Genomic DNA, 21799 nt, shown 5'->3' with positions numbered 1-21799 from the left:
AAACACTGAGCTTCAGAATCAAAAGAAAAGGCATATCTGTGTCTTGCAGAGCTTGGCACCCAAGGTTTAACGATGCAAAATTCAGTTCTGAACAAATCAGCACCATGAAACAGCCAGATGGAATTTCTCATCTGGTGTTTATCTAACAGATGTTTTCCTCACTGAGACAACCATTTGCAGAGACATTCTGTAACCACGTTACTTTCCCTGTCAAATACTATCCAGTTCTCCCTAATAATTGTATTAACATTTATGGACTAAAAGTGTATTTTAGGTTTTTTTTTCATGTATAATCAACTTATTCTCTCAAAATAAGCCAGATCATTCAGGAAATTGTAGAAAGTAATGTTTGAATAGGCCAATTCTGTCCCTCATTAACAGAACTTCTAGTTATTTCTGAGTTCATATTACTTCATTAAAAGCATGTCTTTGTAACAGTAATTGAGATAGAGACTTAGGGGTGAGAAGTAGGAAAGAAAGCACATTCTAAATCACTAAAGGCATGACGTTTCCCTGCCAGCATTTTCACACTTAGTTTAGTCTTTAGATTTTGTCTGATGTTCAATGTTTATGTAAAATATCAATAATCAAATTATTGTTTTGTACTCACTATTATACTAAGCAATTTTTTCAAATATTTAGAAGAAGCAAGCCATTTAAGTAAAATAAAATATTTTTGATTCATAGGCCTTTGAAGATATATACATTGAACAGCGAAAGACTATCAAAACCATGCTAGAATATGCTGACAAAGTCTTTACCTATATATTCATTCTGGAAATGCTTCTCAAATGGGTTGCTTATGGATTTCAAACATATTTCACTAATGCCTGGTGCTGGCTAGATTTCTTGATCGTTGATGTAAGTATTTTAAGTGATTTTTATAAAATTGTTTTTAAAAGAGGCAAGTTTGACATTTCATATGTTTCTGTTATTAAAACTTTCACTAATAATGACATAATTATGCAGTTATTTAAACAAAACTGTAACATATGCAACAATGAGGAATATCTCATGGGAAAGAGTAGAGGAGGTCCTAAAAACATGGGCAGTGGTAAGAGCAAACACAGGGAGAATTGTTCTTTACCATAGATAGACAGCTTTTATTTTTCTGAAAGTTAAGTGCCTCAAGGTAAGTAATAGATAAGTAATATGTTAATTGACAGATGTAAGCACTTAGCTTATTAACAGTTCAGTTTAAAAAAACAAACAAACATCTCCAAGAAGCAAAATAAAAAATGACTGAAGGTCAGAAAGTGTGTAAACTGCACTTTAATCCCTTCCTAGAGTACGTGTGACTAAATACTGTGAAATTAACCCATGTACTGACTTCATTCAGCCACAGCCACATACCCACAGACACAACAAAATGCATTTCCATTTTTAAATCAGTAGTTAGATCCCAATAGCTAATCAGGTATTTACCATGCAAAGAGTTAGGTGTAGGTCTGTTCTGAATCTGATTACCCTGGGGTGAGTAGTCATAGGAACATTGCCAATTATGGAATCTATCTGACGTGCAGCCTGTTTTTTTATTGCAAGTGACGGAGAGGCACTGGGACAACATGACAGTCCTCTGATTCCTTGTAGTCTGTGATATTCCGTTGCACAAGGCTTCACAGCCTCCTAACAAAACAAGGTGCTTCAAATACTATCTCTAGCCATTTCCTAGCAATCACAAAGCTCCTTATTTTTAGCTCTAACACTTGTCAATATGAATCAATGATTGCCATATGTGTGCCTCGTTCTTTTTCTCATTTTTGACGAGTCTGGGTCTATCCAGATTCTACTCTTCTTCCTCCCACAAACACATATTCACAATTATATAACCAAAATGTGTTTAACCCTTTAAGTTGATAAGAAATCTGCTGTCAAGTCACTTTTAATAGACCAGAAATGACTTTCAATTTCCTTGGCTGGCCTTTCATTAATAATAGAGATGAATTTCAACATAACTCTGAAAAGCTATGCACAAATGGAAACTTAGTATTTTCACATTCCGCAGCTAGAGTGGACCTTAAGGAATATCTAGGGTTTATTCAAGACATGAGAAAACTAAAGCCTCAGTTTAAATATTTTTTGGAGATAACACAGCTTCTTAATAATAAAGTTGATACGTGTCCAAATTTACTAATTCTCAATTCAGTGCTCCTTTCCCTCATAGATTTTCTGCCTAACTGATCCATTATAAATATATTAGTTGTAATAGGTAAATGTGTGTGTGTGTGTGTGTGTGTGTGTGTGTGTGTGTGTGTGTGTGTATCAGACTGGCATCAGACTGGCTTTGAGATTTAGCATTTAAAATCTCCACCTTCTCTGTCAAAGATGGAACACTAAATACATTCAATGATCCTTTCTGGTTCAAAAAGATTTTTATCATGTATGAAGATTATGATCTTTTTTTATTTTTGAGACGGAGTTTCGCTCTTCTTGCCTAGGCTGGAGTGCAATGGTGCGATCTTGGCTCACTGCAACCTCCGTCTCTGGGGTTCAAGTGATTCTCCTGCCTCAGCCTCTCGAGTAGCTGGGATTACAGGTGCCCGCACCATGCCTGGCTAATTTTTTGTATTTTTAGTAGAGACAGGGTTTTGCCATGTTGGCCAGGCTGGTCTCAAACTCCTGACCTCAGGTGATCCACCCACCTTGGCCTCCCAAAGTGCTGGGATTACAGGCATGAGCCACCGTGCCCAGCAAGGTTATTTTAAAATGTGATAGAAGTTTTCTAGAAAATTCTGACTTACAGTTACTGAACTACTGCATTGTACTTCGAGTATTTCTATGTACTCCCCTTATATAGAAAACATGATTATCATGTAAAAATCTCTTGAGGTTGGAGGTTTTCCATCATGTTTTTATCCTTGTACACCTAACACAGACATTTAGACATCTATTGAGTAATGTTTCAATGAATGACAAACGAATGGTGCCCCAAAATTACTTTGCTTTTAGTGAGTCAAAATTAGCAGATTGGAACTGGGTACTGAAAGCCTCCTCCTTTGGGCAAGTTACTGTATCTTAAATGGGTCTATTTTCTTAATTTTCCCAAAGCAGGGGTTAAATACATGAATTAATGCAACCTCAGATAACAGCTTGTCCTCAGAGTACTGGGGATTCACTAAGCTAAAGTAAATATAAGGTTAAAACAGTGTTTGAAAGTACAAATAAAATGGACTTAAAGAGTTTAAAGTTCATAGGGTATATCACTGTAACAAAATTAAAGTCACAGAAAGGTAAAGAAAGGAAGCAATCAATGAAGCAAGAAAATAAACAGAACACCAAATAAACTTCCTTTCAAATGTATCTTTCGAAAACTACATTCACATACTTGAGAAATAGGTCTGTGTAAAAAATGTAACCTCTTCAATTCTCTGTCTAAAAGTAAAATTAGATTTATAGTGACATATCTTTGTAATTTCCTAAAATTCATTCATTTATTCAATAAATATTTTTGAGTACCTTATAAAGGATCATATGCCATTCAAGACAAAGGAGAAATGAACAAAACAGACCTAGCCTTGTTAAGCTTACACTCTATTGGAGGAGAGGAACAGACAGGAAACGTGTAAACAAGTAAAATCTAAAGATAAGATAAAGGCAGATCACTGCTATGAAATAAAACAGAGTACTAGGCTGGTAAATTACTGCGTGTTTGGGGAAGCGGAGGGAGGGCAGGAGCAGTGTGTCAGCTAGTGTCCAGGAGGGTGTCTAAGGGAGTGCATGGGGGAGGGTGCCAGTCATTTGAAGACCTGGGAGAAGAGAGGAGAAGAAGCAGAAGCGCTTGAAGTGGGAATGAGCCAAGGAGATAAAAGAGATAGAAAGAAACTGGCGTACTTGTATGTGATGAAACATGAGTGAGAGTGGTAGAAACCGAACTCAAAAAGTACACAGTGGCCATGGCAAGAAGTTCGTATTTTATTGTAATTTACTATACATCATATATGTTAACATTATGTAATCTATCATATATTAGTTATAATGACCATGAGAAGCCCCAGCAGCAGGATAAGCAGGGATCTGACCTACTGTTACAAAATGATCATATCTGGCTATGGAGAGGGGGAGGCAAAGAGTAAAAGCAGAAAGATCAATTAGGAGGTTGTTTTAATAATGCAAGAAAGTGGAGATTTTAGACCAAGGTGATGAGACTTACTGATAGGCTTGATATGTGGAGTGAAGAAAAGAGAGGATTCAACAAATGGATTTTCTTTCACCGTGAACAAATGGGTAGAGGATAGAACCATTAACTGGGATGGGGAATATCAGAAAAAGATTTGGCAGGGTAGGTAGATGATGGGTGGGAGAGAGATGTATTCATTTGATATATATTCATTTGAGATGTTTATTAGACATTCAAAACAAGGTACTGAACTTTATATAGATCTAGAGCTCAGGAGAGAATCCAGAATCTTATGTATATAAATTTAAGGTTCATCGAGATGTATATGGCATTTGAAGCTACAAACCTGTTTTAGCTCACCTAGGCAGAGACTGCAAATAAACAAGGCAACCCAGAACCAAACTCTGGGGACACTATAACATTTAGAAGTTGGGCAAAGGAGAACCAGCCAGTAAATTAGACTGAGAAGTAGTAATTAAAAGGAAAACAAAATATGCATGGTGTCATAGAAACCCAGAGAAGATAGTTGGGTTTTTCCAAAGGAGAGGTGATCAATTTTATCAAAGGCTACAGTGAAAAAAAGTCAAAAATCAAGCAATATTGGTATATAAAATTGACATTTGGATTTGGCAAAATGAAGGTCATTGGTGTTGTGGATGACAGAAAATAATGAAGATGAAGAAATGGAGACAGCAAGTATGATACTTCAGGATGGAATCAAGGGCAACTTAACTCATGCCTCTGCCTTCCAGAATACTGCACTAGAAGGAGCACTTTTTCAGATTCTGTACAATTCTTTTCTTCTCAGGTGAAGGTCAAAAAGATACTATGTTCATTTTAAAAAACAAAATATACCTTACTATACCATCCTATAACTACACAAACTATACTATAGATGCTGCTATTGACCACACAATGAAGTAAATACATAATTTAATTAATATTTATTTAAAACGTATTGAAAACATCAGATTTCTTGAGGTCCTTATCAATTTTTGCAGTCATCTCTGAGAAAATGCATCTGAGCATCTCTCATAAAAACTTCGTTTGATTCTAAAACATCCTAACATGCTAATGTGTGAAAAACAAACTCTAGTAAAAGATTCAACCATCATGAAGTATTTATTGCTCACAGGTAATTTTCACTAACAGCACAGGTTAAAAGGAGATGCTTGATATTATGGCTTTGGAATGCTTTTCCTGCTTAATCACATGCTCCTTAGAATCCCATAAGCTGCTCTGTTGAGGTGAACAAAACCACCATAGGGACACTTTCTGATCCTAATATGTATTTCCATTTGCCAGCAACCCCTAGGATCTAGTATTTCCTGCCTTAGTTCTTGACATTTATTATTGACATATTGGCAACCTCAATAATGGAGCTAGATTGTTATTAGTAGTAATAGTAGTAGAAAGATATTATGCCTAGTACTTTGTAAGCACTTATTGTGGGAATGGCACTAATTAAGAGCCTTACATAATAATAGTGAAAATTACTACCCTGATTTAATGCACACTGTGTACAGGTGCCACCAAAAGCACTTCACATGTGTTAACTCATCTAATCTTCAAAATTCTATGAGTTAGAAACAACTATTCTCAATTTGCAGGTAGGGAAGCTAAGACAAAGAGAGGTTAAGTTACTTTCCCATGTTAACGGAACTAATAAGTGGCCAAGCTGGATTTGGTACCCAAGTTGTCTGGCTCTAATGACTGTGTTTCTAACCCCTACATTACAAACCTCATTATAAATGTCTCTTTTACTTACAAAGTATTTATTAATCTTTTTAACAAGCTTTTGATTTTTTGTATTATTATTTCTATTTTGCTACAGATGTTATCTCTATTTCACAGGTTTAGAAATGTCATACAGCTAGTAGGTGGTAGAGCTACCTTTACCCAACACTGGGTTCTTTGATCCATATTTTACAATAGGGCACAGATCTATTTGGCATATTGTGCTGAACTAGTCAAAGAGTTCCCACATGACACCGAAGGTGATTGCGTATAAGTGGTGGTGAATGAAAGCAATGAGATGGTGCCTTGCTAATATGCAGACACCTGCCTTGAATTTTATCTAGCACCCTTGTGCAGAGAATTAGAATAAATTAAAAGAGCTTTGGGGTAAAGGAACTAAATAATTATAAATTATTGTCATTTCATATTAATTTCTGATCTCTCTCTCTAGATATATTTCCGTGTAAACAGTCTAGTATGTGATTTGACTTTTTCTATAAATGTCTTCTGATAGAAATGATTCATTTTGTCCATTTCTTGGAAGAATTTAATTCTCCTTTAGCATTATTAATTAATTAATAAGAAAAATTTCTCACAGGCAAGGTTTAAAAAGATAATCCTACTAATGTAGCTATAAATTTCTATAGCCCATTCTTTGAAAGAGTATGGCTTTTAATAGAGACTTTTAATCTCTAATTCTGGTCTTTTGTTAAACTCCAACCCATACTTCTAACTGCTTCCTAGATAATACATGTTAATACACCTGTTATCTGCACATGTTCATCATGTTTCCCCTCTAAGTCATGCATTTCTTCCAAATTCCCTACTTAGTCTGATGGTAATGTTTGTATAAATCCAGGCCAGATGTCATCTTCAGCCTTTCTGCCTTTCACCCCTCACAACCAATCAATCAGCAAGTTCTTCTCCATTTTATTGACTAATAAATGAGTGGACAGTCTCGCCCCTCCTCTTCAGCACATCAACACCACTGCAATCAACTGGACCAAGCAATAGCTTACTAAATGTTCCTGCCTCCAGTCACAACCTCTGCAAATAAATGTTTTCGGAAGACCTACATCACTCTTTTTCTTCTTAAAGGCCTCCCCGTGGGATGCAATTCATCAGCCAGCATTCTAAATGGTGACAGTAAAGGCAAACAAGCGTTATCATTTGTAATACTAATAACAACCAACCTTAACTGAGCTATAAATTGTCCTTTGTCTTCAATGCTTAATTTGTTTAATCTTCACAACAACTTATGCAGCATCTACTGTTACTTTCCTAGTGTGTAGATGGGAAAATTGAGGCACAGAGTAGTTATCTAGTTAAGTAACATATAACATACATTCATTATGTAAAATGTCAAAAACAATTCATATCTTTCCAAAAAGAAATAATTACACCTGAAGATACAGTCATAATTACACACTTCATAAACAGAAGTAATTATGCTCACAATGAATCAAAATTGCACTTTAAAATTTTTTCTAGGAGTGTGCTTGAAGATGATGCATCTATTAACAAAGATACTTTGATTTGTTCTTTTTCAACATAAAGAACATATAGTGTTATTTTGATTTAATCATCTTTAAATTGCCAAATTAAGAATTCCAGACAAAGAAATAAACTTAGAGAGATCACCTGATTCAAAGTCTTCATTTTAAAGACCCCTCCCCCACTGCACATAGTGTTTGGAATGTTTAAGTGAAATTCCTGTGAAACTCATGGCTTCTCTGTACCATATTGTAGTCACCAGTGATGAGTGCACCAGATTTTACTCATCCTTTTCCCAGGGATGAACGCTTAGATCGTCTGCTTCCTGCTATTATAAACAATACCACAATGACCACGGTATTTGCTTTTATATAGCATGTGAGCATTGTGAATTTTCTAATCATGTATAAAGTTAAAGACCAATAAATAAACCATAAAGATAAAAGTAGAAGAGAAAGCAAAGAGGCGGCCCTTGAGTTACAAACTTACAAACTCCCCTTACATAAAAATAAATTATCCTTTTTTTTTCTTTAGGAGACAAAGTCTCTCTCTGTCACCCAGGATGGAGTGCAGTGGTGCAATCATAGCTCGCTGTAACCTCAAACTCCTAGGCTCAAGCAACCCTCCTGCTTCAGTCTCCCAAAGTGCTGGGATTACATGCATGAGCCACCACTCCCAGTCTGGACTTCCATTTCTGACTGAGATTGCATAGAGACTGCACTTCCCACAGCCTCTGGAAGCCTGCGCTCTATTCCTGCTGTACACCTTACCCACCCCAGCTGGCCAAATCCCTCTGTCACAAATATCCCCAACCTCCCATCTTCACTAGAGCTCTCTGCTACCATTCCCATGGCAGCTTTGTACCTGCCCCTCACCACTACCTGAGCCCTTTTCTAGGAACTACTCAGCAGATAGGAAATAGGGCTCCTCTGTGGTGGAAGCAGGAAGGTGTGCAGCTAGCAATCTGAAATTCCGGGTGCCCTTGTCCTAAGAAATACTGAGCTTAAATACCATGTGCTATTTAAGCCCCTCAGTACTATTAATGGGAAAAACTCAACTTCAGGATATACTGGAAGAGACATCTGTGGTGTTGCAGGGAAACCCAACAACAATGTAGATAACTGTTTAGATGTTCTGATGTCTGTAGCAAGTACAGATTTTACTCCAGAAGTTGTGAAGTTGTATTTTATTCTGCTCTCTGAAGGGTTGGAGAGCGTTGGGTGAAGGGACTCAAGAGTGTCTAGCTTTCCTGTATACAAAATTTTAATCAGTTCTGTTTTCAGCTCCATCAATTGCCCCTCTGTTTTTGAGCAACCAAATGCCTCCAGTTCCAGAGCCTTCTGATCATTTTTTGAAACAATTTGAGTTGCTTTTGCAGGCACCTGGGTTTCTGCTGCTCTTTCTCTGATGAGAAAGTAATTATTCCTGTGCTTTCCACAGTCCAGAATGTTTTAAAACTCTTCTTGTTGTATCTTCTCCTATTATCTTTGTCTGTATTCCTTTGCTTTTCTTCTAGTTGAACTTCAGTAGGGGGTATAAATAAATATGTTGTTCAAACAGATATAGTAAAAGTTTAGAAAGAATCTGTGTGTTTTACTATTTGGTTAATGAGCTTTTACTGGATGAGTTGTAGGAGCTCTTTTTATATTAAGGAAATTTAGTATTTTGTCACATGTGGTATGAATATTTTTCTAATTTGAGCTTTTGTCTCTTGAATTCTTTTGTCATGTATAAATTTTTCATATTGATTTAGTCAAATTTATCAGAATTTTTTTTCTTCTTGGTTTTCTCATGTTTATGAAGACCCATTTCAAGACTATTAAAAATATTCCGGGCTTTTTTTTTTCAGTTTTTTAGTTGGAGAATTTTGTTTGTTTCTTTGTCCATTAGTTTATATTTTATGTTTCAATTTTTGACCAACCTGAAATTTAATTTGGTGTAAGGTGTGAGGTAAGGCTCTAGTATTATTTTTTTCTATCTGGCTTCTCATTTAATGAATAATCAGTTGTTCTATTTCTCCTCTCATTTAAAATTATCTCCTTATCCATGTGCTAAATCTCAGTATCCACATGCTAATTTGAGCTTTATTTTATTTCATTCATTCTTTGTCTGCTAATATAACAGCTTTAATTACTGTATATTTATAATCAATATCTGGTGAAATTTGTCCTCTCTGCTTTTCTTCTTCACAAAATTTTAAATTATTATTATACTTTTACTTTTTCTGAATTATATTTTTAAAGTTTTTGTAATTCAAAAAGACTCCTACACAAACTTTTTTAAAAGTTAAGATGAAAAATGTATTTATCAACCGCCTAAAATAATTAGATTATTGTTTATAATAGTTTTTCACTTGATTCTCTTATGGGATTTTTTAAGATAACAACAATATATCTGCAAACAATGATTTCTCCCACTTCTCTAATTCTTATAACTCTTCTTTTTCCAGAAAGTGTTAAATAATAATGTTGTTGATGGGCATACTCTTTTATTCTGATTTTAATGAGAATGCTTATGGATCTCATCATCAAAAATTATACAAGCTTTTAGATTGAAATATATCATCAGAATGTATGGAGGTGATATAGAGTTTTTATCTTTTATTTGTTCATGTTGAACTTTAAACATTGTCTTTAGCCATTTTCAAGGAAAAAAAATTCCTGTTGTTTGGTTCCTTAACCAATCACAGGATTTCCAGAATCTTCTTTGGAACCATCAACTCCATCCTGCATTATTCTTTTCTTTCTCAGTCTCAGCTGCCATAAGAATGTGGAAAGGTGTGGATGACAACTGAACCAACCCCTGACACCTCTATCACAGACATTTCCATTTATTTACTGTGTAGTGTGATATGGTACCTAGGGTCATATAAATTCATATTAAAAATTTAGTTTTTGGAAATGGGTATCTCATACTTTGCACACATTGGCAAGAGTGCCTTTTGTGTTTAGCACAAAAGAGATAATATTAAAACACTATGTATTGAAAGGTTGGGGACAAATTTGCTAAGGTGAAAAACACATTAGACATAAAAACAGATGACCTAAATTCTAGTTATATGTTTACCTGTGGCCATCTTTCCTTGGAGTGGTCATTTCACTATTCTGAGACACAAAGATAATGAGTGAAAGAGGTCACTGTGAATTGTAAAGCACCCTACCAATGTAGTCATTATCTTCAAACTTTATGTATGTTGCAAATCTTTAAAATTCTTGCAAGGAGCTATCTCCACTTATAATAGAGATTTGAAAGATCTCATTTCAAAATAGCTTTTAAACCATATTTTTTCACATCAGTTAAACCACTAAAATAAGGTTTTGCCTTATACAAAATGACATTGTAGCTTAAGTCATGCAAACCAGAAAAAAATATTTATGTATGTGATTGATCAGATTGTGATAATCTTATCGTAATTTGCGTGGAAAAATCATTTTAAGTTATTTGATTAAACCAATCTGCAGTGAGTATTCTCAAAGTCCTAAAAATATTTTAAATTCCCTTTATTTTCCTATATAAGTCAAATACGCAACAGATCCCAGCACAGATTTGTCAGAAAATCCAGTGTCAGGTAGTTTTTTATGATCTCTCCTTGGGAACTTCTAGAAATTCTAGGACATATGTAGCCTAGAAATGTGGTGCTAATTTCCTCTGATCCTCACATATTGTGGCTGCAACTCTGGCACTATGTCCTCTGGGCCATGAGGTCCATTAAAATAAGTGTAGCTTCATTAAGCCCAGCTTCTCTAACAACACACAATTCCATGCCATGTAGGGTGGTTAGATGCAGGTGGTGCCTTTCAACCTTTAAACTCATGACTTCCTATCTTTCCTGAACCCACTGTTCTGGATATTACCTTACTATTTTCTTTTTTTTTTTAAAGAGAAAAGAGGCTCTCACTCTATAGCCCAGGCTGGAGTGCAATGGTGTGATCATAGCCACTGTAACCTGGAACTCCTGGGCTTAAGCAATCATCCTGCCTAAGCCTCCCAAATAGCTAAGGCTACAAGTGCGAGCCACCATCCCTGGCTAATCATTTTTTAAATTTTTTTGTTGAGATAAGGTCTCACTCTATTGCGCAGGCTGGTCTTGAACTCATGGCCTTAAGTGATCCTCCCACCTCAGCCTCCCAAAGCACTGGTATTACAGGCATAGGCCATCACACCCAGTTTTACTTTTCTTTTCAAAGCATAAGCTTCCTTACTTCAAGGTCTTGAGAAATTTGCAGCCACGTCCCTTTAAAATCCCATGTCTCAAATAAAGGATTTTGTTGGGAGGTTGAGAAAAATCTTCAGATAGTAACTCTAGAAACATAAAGAAGCTGTTAATTCCTCCTGAGGAAAAGGAGCATAGAACATAGAAGCCTGTGTGTTCTCTAATAACCTTTCCAATCTTTCCAGTCTTCTATAACAGCAAACCTAAGACAGAAATGAATAGCTCAATCAATTATCCTGCCACTAATCAAGTTTAGCAGTCAAGTCATGTATTATTCTGTTCAATTCTTAAAATGTATGCTAAATTAAACAATGAGAGGACAGTGGCTTCATATGTTGTTAAAGCCTAGGTTCTGGTTTTGGTATCACTCTTTATATCCTGTGTTCTTGGGCACATTATTGATTTCATCATATTTCACAAGATTGTTGGGAGGATTCACTTAAATCCATTTTCAACAGCCTTTTTTCATAGGAAATTAAGCCCTAATGCTCTTAAGCCATTGTGGATATAATGAATTAATTTCTCTCTTATGAATTAAGGAAAGCACTAGTTATGTACCATCTTTGAAAGAACTGAGAAGATGGTCATTCAAATCATTTTCAGTGCCCTATGATTCAGATGAAGAAGAAACATTTTTAATGGATGCAAAAGGTTAAGATATGCTTTTGACGTCAGATTATTTGGGTTCAAATCGCCAATTCTACTCTTATTAGCTGTGCATCCTTTTGTTGTTGTGGGTGGGGGTGGCGCTCTAACTTCCTCACACATAAAGAGGTGATGGTAATGGTAGCTATATCTTTGGATTTATACATGAAGACATGTTATTATATTGAAAGAAAATTAAAGCAAATAAACTTCCTCCCCCAAAAAAGGACATGTCTTCTTTGATCTTTCATATATTTAAGTAAAATTTAGTATAAATACAAGTTAAGTCTTATCAAAAACCAGAAGTGTTTTGGATTTTGGAATATTCGTTCTATGTCAGTTGAGCATCTCTAATCGAAAAATCCAAAATCCAAAATGCTCCAATGGGCATTTCTTTTGAGTGTCATGTTAGCATTCAAAGCGTTTTAGATTTCAGATTTTTAGATTAGGGATGCTCAGCCTGTATCAGGAAGCTGTACCATCTCTCTGAATGACGAGGACTATATTCTAAATCTTAAGTCCAGCAGTTTGGATAAAAATTTTCCCTGGAATAATTATTTATCCAACATATTTTGGCTAAAGTATATCTGACCAGACAGCGTTAGACATGTTAAGAGAACAATGTTTCATCCCAGCTGATAAAAAAACGTATACGATCTGGAAAGGGAGATAAGATATCTAATCAGTGAACGCTATTACATGGTGAATGCTTCCAGAATGCATAACTAAGATATTACATAAACTCAAGAGAGAAACATTATTTCTAATCAATAATTTTAAGCACACATCCATGAAGGATCTGGCATTGAACTCAATCCTGAATTATCAGTGGTATATGCACAAGTTGAAAAGGGGTCCATGGTATAAAATATCTAACTGGAGATATTGACACGTGTTGATAAATATGGGCAAGTATTCTGGTTTCATTGGTTAAAAAAAAGCAATAGTATGAGATGAGACTGGCAATATAAGATGACCCCACTATGTGGAAGATGAAAGTTGCCAAGGTATGTCCAAATTAGTATTTAGTCTGCATTAAATAGATACCACACCCTATACCTTCAGTCAACAGTTTATTTCTTGGTGAACTAATTAATTTTTTTTTCCTTTTGTAGGTTTCTTTGGTTAGCCTGGTAGCCAATGCTCTTGGCTACTCAGAACTCGGTGCCATCAAATCATTACGGACATTAAGAGCTTTAAGACCTCTAAGAGCCTTATCCCGGTTTGAAGGCATGAGGGTAAGAAGAATAGACACTCTAATTATTCATGTCAAAATTACATGTAGGTAATGATTTAGATAGAAAAGGGTGCCATACTCTTCTGATATTTATTTCATAGAATTACAGAATTAGAGCAAAAATCTTAGATATCACAAAGCCTAGCCTTCTGAAACTGGAGTTTATTTAAACAGGCTCTCAGAATTTTGGGAGGACAGAACTGAGACTAGCATCCAGGTCTTCTTGTCACAGTTCAAATATGTTTCTACAACACTCAAAAACCTTGGACTGCCAGTTGTTTCTTTTCATTGCTTACACCCCTTGAAATGACTACTGACTACTGACATTCATCCGTGGTGGGGAGTTTCTTTCTCTCAATAGTTTGATTCCTTCAAAATTACTGGCAATGAATGAAAGGTAAAATGGGTTTTGTGTGCTTTGCTTCTTGAATTAATATCAGTAATAAAAATTATTGCATAAGGAAACAACATTGAATTTTAGCCTCTAACAAATTGCTAAATAACATCCAAAGTGAAGGGTTAAGGTAATTAAGCATTTCAGGCAACCTCCAGAGTTTTTTGGTTTTTTTGTTTGTTTGTTTGTTTTTAGACGGAGTCTCGCTCTGTCGCCCAGGCTGGAGTGCAGTGGTGCGATCTCAGCTCACTGCAACTTCCGCCTCCCGGGTTCACGCCATTCTCCTGCCTCAGCCTCCTGAGTAGCTGGGACTACAGGTGCCCGCCACCACGCCCGCTAATTTTTTGTATTTTTAGTAGAGACGGGGTTTCACTGTGTTAGCCAGGATGGTCTCGATCCCCTGACCTCATGATCCGCCCGCCTCGGCCTCCCAAAGTGCTGGGATTACGGGCATGAACCACTGCGCCCAGCCCAGAGTTTGTTTTATAGATCTTTTTTTCTAATTGAGCATTCTGAATAAGGTTCACTTTTTCTATAGCAGTTGTATTTTCCTCCCCAGCTCTCTTCCTTAATATGTATATTATGCATCTAAACATAAAATCACACTTTATTATAGATACCACCCATTTGCCATGCCCCTCGGTAGAATTCAGCACAAAGGCCAGTTTTGTTTAATCTGGCTTGTGAGTGCATGTGGATATTTAATTTAGTCTAGGTGATAGGGCTTTCATGTTAGGATGTTAGGAGATGGTTGGTTTGGGGCAATAAAAATATTTCAACCTTGACTTTAAAGTTCACCCATCAGGGAGAATTAAGCCACTCTCCAGACTCTCCAGAATCATTGTAATCAAAGAAATATTTGGTTTTTACATTGTAATTTCATTTCCTTGCTAATGCTAAAGAAAGTTAGACAAGATAAAATTCATAAAAATTACTATACAATTTCAAGTTCTTTTCAAACCAAACTTTTACCATTACTCATAATACTTAAGCTCTCATTTGGTTCCATGTTTCCTATTAACAGTTCATTTATGAGGGGAGATAGCAACTGAGCAAAATTTAAAACTTATAAATTTTCTCTAATCTGAAAAATATTCAAAGTTTAGAATTTTTAATTCAGTCATATAGCACAATTAATATTCCAGATGCAAATTATGATAATGTATTATGCATTTACTTGAAAACAGGAGAACCTGTGGTGGTGTGTACCAAACTTGTCCAACCCGCCTTATTTTGTTATTGTTGTTGTTCTATATTGTTTTAGGCTACTAACAGCCTGAAGCCATGGTTTTTAGTTTCTATCTCTAGTGATAAGTGGAAAAGAGGGATGAGGAAGGGACTTTACGGGCCCAGCCAGAAACAGAAACTAAGAACCCAGTGAATGCATTCTCTCCCTGGCAAGTATAATGCATATGGCTTAACTTCCAAAAGAAACAAAATTCAAGTAGCATAGGAAATGTTTACAATTTTGGATTTCTGGTTTTGATGTCAATTTAAGATTCCTTGGTATTGATTTCTAAAATAATGTTTGCAGTATTTTAAAATAAAACAATACTTTTATTTAACATAAATGATTAACAGAATGGTCCAATATGAACTAGATTAGACAAGAAAAATTACTGTTGACTTTCATAAAGATTTCAAAATACATCTTAATATCTTCTGAATTTAATGAGAAGTGAATGAATTTTCCTCTCATGAAATAGGTCAGCCTGGGTTGATGAAGTAGCATGTGCTCCAAAGTGAACATTTAAGAGATTGTGAAGTAATAATAATGGGAACTTATCCAGTACTGTTACGACCAGATATAAATTCCACTTTTTCCCCTAACTTAATAAACCTTTTTATTGAGATTTACTAACAGGGGGAAAAAGGGACCCAGTAAATTCCTAATCCTGTTCTTCGTAGTCATAAAAAGTTAACTTGATCTGAGAATATAGATTTAAGGCATTTTTAATACTTTGTTTATTTGCAAAGGGTTTGTTTACTGGCTTTTTCAAATTATCATTCATTCATTAACACTCTTGAAAATTAAAATGTATTACTGAAAGATGATTATTTTTTCTGTTGGCATTTAATGCATCTTTCTATTCTTTTTTCCCCAGCATACAAACATTTTCTGACTCCATCTTACTATACCAGGTTTTTAATGATTTCTTTTCATACTGTAGCATATTTTGCTTTCCTTAAAACCTTAGCTCTTTAGTTGTGTCATTGTTTGTTTTCCTTCAAATATGTGCTAGAAAAATTAGAAGAAACAACTTGTCCACCTAGATTTTTATTTAACTCTTTTCAAGCACATATTAATACTAAACAAATACATTGAAGGAATGGTTTCCATTCAAAAGGTTTGTAAGCTATGTTCCCCTCGCTGTCTCTTCTAGGTGGTTGTGAATGCTCTTGTTGGAGCAATTCCCTCTATCATGAATGTGCTGTTGGTCTGTCTCATCTTCTGGTTGATCTTTAGCATCATGGGTGTGAATTTGTTTGCTGGCAAGTTCTACCACTGTGTTAACATGACAACGGGTAACATGTTTGACATTAGTGATGTTAACAATTTGAGTGACTGTCAGGCTCTTGGCAAGCAAGCTCGGTGGAAAAACGTGAAAGTAAACTTTGATAATGTTGGCGCTGGCTATCTTGCACTGCTTCAAGTGGTAAGTGGCTACTGTACGAGTTTTGAAAAAGTTTTCAAGATGTTTCAAGGAAGATTATTTCCCTGATGTTCTTCGTTTGAATGACTAACATTTGACAGCATGAAAAAAAGTTAATGATAACACCTATAATATCAGCTTGAATTGATCATAAAAAAGATGTTACAATTATTTTATAATGTATTTTCCTTAGTGTTAAGCTTTTAGTATGTTTTAATGTGATTTTATATTTCTGCTTTCTTTTTTGTTATATTTTTGGGTACTGGTATCATTTTTAGTTTTCTGTATCAATTATTGCCAAAGGAGCAACTTTAGGTACTAAAATAACAATGCATATTTGTAGTGATGAATTAAATGTATAAATTATTAGCCAGATAATTTATTATAACAATGTCTAAGAAATATGATTCTACTATGTGTCAAAATGCAAATCATAGAGCTTACACTTTAACATATAAGGGAATTGGGACTGAGATGGCAGTTTCATGAATAAAGTCTTTCACTAAATTTTAGTGTAGGAAGAAAATAGAATACTTTCAAGAAAAAAAAGGAAACAAGTTCCAGACTTTAAATACAAATGTTTTTCTATTTCAATTTTATTTCAATCTCTTGATATGAAATTTCACAATATTGTACAAAAAGTTATTTGTTATAATACTGTCAGATTTTCATCTGGTTAAATGTCATTGTTAGGTGAAATTTTTATGAACAATTCAAATATATGTTATTTACAGGCCACATTTAAAGGCTGGATGGATATTATGTATGCAGCTGTTGATTCACGAGATGTAAGTATCACTCAAATATTATTTATAGGTTCTAGATTTCTTATGGTGAATATTGGTGGTAATTTAAACACTGATACATCCAAAATTCTATATTAGAACATTTAATATTGCATATAAAAAATGAACAGTCTGCTTCAATATAGATGATGCTTGATTAATGTGTGCCTAATATACAATATGTAGCTAATATGAAACGATATCTAGCTGCATGGATCCTAAGACATTAGATTGGTCCAGTAAATGAGACTATTCTGAGTGGAAAAGTTGTTCAGTGGGGAAGTAACTTGTCTCTCCCTATCCCTGGAGAGTATGATAAACCAGACTCTGTGAAGCAGCTTCCAAGAATATCATGATACAGAAAAGCAAGCAAGTTTCAGGGACACTCAATTTAGAAAATAAAAATAAAAATAACTCCACAGAATATATCTGTGCTGAATTTTCCTCTTAGAAGTTGATGTTCTGCTCTTAAAGCCGTATTTCCAAAATTCAGCATTTCCAAAACCAAACAGAAAATACTGCAAAAAATTATGACTAATAATAGGCTCAAAATGTTTTCCCTGCTTATATCACCGTATTTATGTTAAAGAATATGTTAAATGTAAGGCACAATGGGAAAAGAGAATCAAGAACAATCATAAAACTTGCAAACCTTCATTTTACTAGATCATACTAGTTTTAAAAAATTGTTTTTGTAGAACAATATCTCAGGGTAAGGCAAAAGTAGCACTGTATTAAGTAACAGCACTCAATAAATTACTGATTTAGTGTAAGTATTTATAGTATTTTTCATATTATTTAATATTTTCAATATCATTTAGGTTAAACTTCAGCCTGTATATGAAGAAAATCTGTACATGTATTTATACTTTGTCATCTTTATCATCTTTGGGTCATTCTTCACTCTGAATCTATTCATTGGTGTCATCATAGATAACTTCAACCAGCAGAAAAAGAAGATAAGTATTCTTTAGCTTTTACCTTTCTTCATTCTGGGGTTCTGTCTGTTAATACAGCCAAATAACCAGAATACCTGTGGTCATGACAGACTTAAATCATGTTTATATTATTTTCAGTTGCCCATGTGGTTATTTAAGCTGCAGGGATTCCAGCCTCTAGTCAGTGGCTCCTCTCAAAGTTTATCTATTGGATAGCTTTCTGACCCAAAAATGTGTCCACTCCTTCGGACCCATCCAACGGGTCTCCAGTGCTTTAGCTTGGCTTACAGAGCCTTTCAGGAATTACCTCCACCCAGTTTTCCATCTTCATTTTTTCCTACACTTCACTCTATACATGTGTATTTCCCTACTACATAGTCACCACCCATACATCTATATGAGCTTTCTGCCCTTTTCTGAACAAGCATTCTCTTGTACCTCCATGGCTTTTTGTGATTTTTTTTTATCCTGGAATGTTCCTAGAAAACCCATAATCATCTTTTAAGGCCTAGCTTAAGGGTAAGCTATGTAACAGCTTGTCTCTGAGTCTCTGAATTCATTGTTGCCTCTGCAGTACATTTAATTTTTTTGTCATATCAACATACACTGTCCACCTACGTTTTCAGTTTCCTGCTCCATTTAGAAGCAGAATACTGTATCTTATATATTTATGTAATTCTGACACCCAGCACATTGTCTAGCACACAGAAAGTGTTAAAAACTGTTGAATGAAGAAGTAAAATTATCGGCAGTGAAATGGACTAAGAAAATGTTTTCTGTTTTGCAAAAATATATTTGAGACCCTTGTGCCTACTTTTAAACATAGTATAATCAAATTAGGATCCTGTAGCGATCAGAGTTTTATGTACGTAAGGATTTTGCATAATATTAAGATATTCAGAATTTCACATAAATGGGAAAAGCAGGATAAATGTATATGTAGGAGGATAATATCCACTTAAAAATTAGAAAAGATTAAAGGAAAGACAAATATTTTTTGTGAAAGTACTATTGGAACACAGAATTGTAACCAGTTTTATACTATGTCTTTACTTTGGAGGTCAAGACATCTTTATGACAGAGGAACAGAAAAAATATTACAATGCAATGAAGAAACTTGGATCCAAGAAACCTCAGAAACCCATACCTCGCCCAGCAGTAAGAATTACTTGTCTCCTTTAATGTTCCAAAGCCATGCGTCCATATGGTCAAATTGAGCAATGCTCTGGAGCAGAACATATTAGGTGATATCACCAATATTGAGCCCTAATTATAAAGTTCATATTTTGCATCATAATTCACAACTTCTGCACTCATTAGGAGTTACCACATTCCAAAAAAAGGAGGTAATGTTCTTTATAATTTGTGAGTTGAAAACTTCTAGCTCAGGGTTCCTAATAAATACTTCCAAAGCAAGGTTCACTTTCCTGCTACCAACAGCACACCTGGTTCCTCCTCCTCTAGCCTTCCCATCCCACTCTCCAAGGCCTCCCTCTATACTCTCTGCTCCCTCCATTCTTAAGACTAGAAAATATTCCAAACCTGTTTAGAAAGGGAAAAGGTGTCATCAAAATTGTTTGTTTCACCAAATACACCAAAACAGAATAAGGCATATTCAGAATGCATACTCTGTAGAGCCTCATGATGATGGAATGATGTAATAATGACAGATTATGTTCACAGAGCTGGACTCTAACTCAGCTATTTTCTGAGATTGGTAAGGAGTAAGGAAACTGAGGCCCAAAGAACATACGAATCATGCCCCAAGTCACAAATCTTGTAATTGCCAGAACTGGGACTTGACAAGGCCCCATAAATTCTCTAAGTGACTTGACTTTACCATATTTATAAGAGTAGTTGGAGCTGGAATGTGAGGGAGCAGGGTAAGAGGGGAAAGGATTGAACTGACTTTACTAGAGTTCTTTAAAAATTAAAACATGGTCACTTCATGACCTTTGATTTTTGGTAAGCCATGAAGTTTTAAGTTTTTACTCTAAATGATTAATAATATATTTCTTTAATAAAACTGTATTTACTAGCCATATTAATATAAGAATCTTTGAAAGCATGTTGTTCCTGAGATGATTGTTAATAAGACAAAGAAAAAAAGTGTTTAAAGTCATGCATTTTTGTTAAAGCACAGGGCATAGGTAAAGAAGGACAGATGGAAAGAAATACAGATAAATTAACAAGCCCATACATAGATTCACAGAGCTAGAGAGGTAGAATTCAATAGAAATATGACTGATGTATTTCAGGGGAGGGAAATAAGGTATAAACCAAAATTTCTAAAATATTGATAAATGAATTGGTGTATTCTCTATCTAAATATCTGTTGATATTAACCTGCTTTGTAAATCTTTGTTATTAGTAGTCACTATTTTTTATAAAAATTATCATACTTATTCAAATCAAGCAAAGACTACATATATTATCAGCCAATTGTCACAAATTTATGTGTTTGTTTTTGTTTTGTTTTTTAAGAGACAGGGTCTCACTCTGTCTCTCAGGCTGGAGTACAGTGGCAAGACCATAGCTCACTGCAAGTTCAAACACCTGGGGTCAAGTGATTCACCTCAGCCTCCCTCGTAGCTGGGACTGCAAGCCTGTGCCACCATACCAGGCTAATTTTTTTTTAATAGAAATGAGGTCTCACTATGTTGCCCAGGCTGGTCTGGAACTCTTGGCCTCAAGAGAGCCTCCAGTCTCAGCCTCCTAAAGTGCTGGAATTACAGGCATGAGTTGCCACGCCCAGCCTTAATTTATGTCTCATCCAGCTTTGTCTTTCCATAGGACCTATATAAACCAAATATGCTTTGTTTAGCTATATAAATTTTTTTTCCATTTTTTTTAACATGAAGAGAAAAAAAGCACACAAAATTGTTTGGGGTAATATGAGGAGGGTGCACATCCATCCCGTATGTGGAAGGGCTTTATCTACAATTTTACTGCATTATTCTTTATGAAATATATATAGTAACCTTATTTCTCTTCTCTCACTTTCTAGAACAAATTCCAAGGAATGGTCTTTGATTTTGTAACCAGACAAGTCTTTGATATCAGCATCATGATCCTCATCTGCCTCAACATGGTCACCATGATGGTGGAAACGGATGACCAGGGCAAATACATGACCCTAGTTTTGTCCCGGATCAACCTAGTGTTCATTGTTCTGTTCACTGGAGAATTTGTGCTGAAGCTCGTCTCCCTCAGACACTACTACTTCACTATAGGCTGGAACATCTTTGACTTTGTGGTGGTGATTCTCTCCATTGTAGGTAAGAACAGCTTAATTACCAAGAGGTATAGTTACAGAGAAACAGTTGCCCCAGGACCTTCTAGCTGATTAACATGGAAATTAGGTCTGAGAATAATAATGCATATAGATGTAAAGTTCAACACTAGCATATTTGAATAAAAACTCTGAAACCTGGGTTTATTCACAAAGCTAACTAGTTAGAAACCATGTTAGGAATACCAGATTTGGGAAAGAGGTGAAGAAGACAGGAAATAAACATTATCAGGTACTCTCCTAATCTTAAACCAAGGTCACAGGCTAAAAGAGGCAGATGGCTTAAAAAACAA

At 35.2% G+C, this 21799-nt stretch overlaps 1 protein-coding gene across 10 annotated transcripts in view; it reads left to right on the top strand.

The window, feature by feature from the left end:
• The window catches only part of SCN3A (sodium voltage-gated channel alpha subunit 3), a 116525-nt gene that overhangs the window by 90305 nt on the left and 4421 nt on the right, over positions 1-21799 (top strand). For 9 of the 10 annotated variants that reach the window (NM_001081676.2, XM_017004662.3, XM_017004661.3 and 6 more), the window contains 7 exons: positions 688-861; positions 13322-13444; positions 16222-16494; positions 17226-17279; positions 18098-18235; positions 19268-19372; positions 21222-21492. In NM_001081676.2, coding sequence (NP_001075145.1) covers positions 688-861; positions 13322-13444; positions 16222-16494; positions 17226-17279; positions 18098-18235; positions 19268-19372; positions 21222-21492 — 1138 coding nt within the window. Of the gene's footprint in view, positions 1-687; positions 862-6713; positions 6930-13321; positions 13445-16221; positions 16495-17225; positions 17280-18097; positions 18236-19267; positions 19373-21221; positions 21493-21799 lie in introns of those variants that run through there. The other variant, XM_047445395.1, reaches the window with a different exon arrangement.

The sequence above is a fragment of the Homo sapiens genome, chromosome 2, assembly GCF_000001405.40.
Source record: "Homo sapiens chromosome 2, GRCh38.p14 Primary Assembly".
NCBI classification, from domain to species: Eukaryota; Metazoa; Chordata; class Mammalia; order Primates; family Hominidae; genus Homo; species Homo sapiens.
The sequence above is the reverse complement of the archived record's forward strand: the minus strand, read 5'-3'. Positions and strand labels throughout refer to the sequence as shown.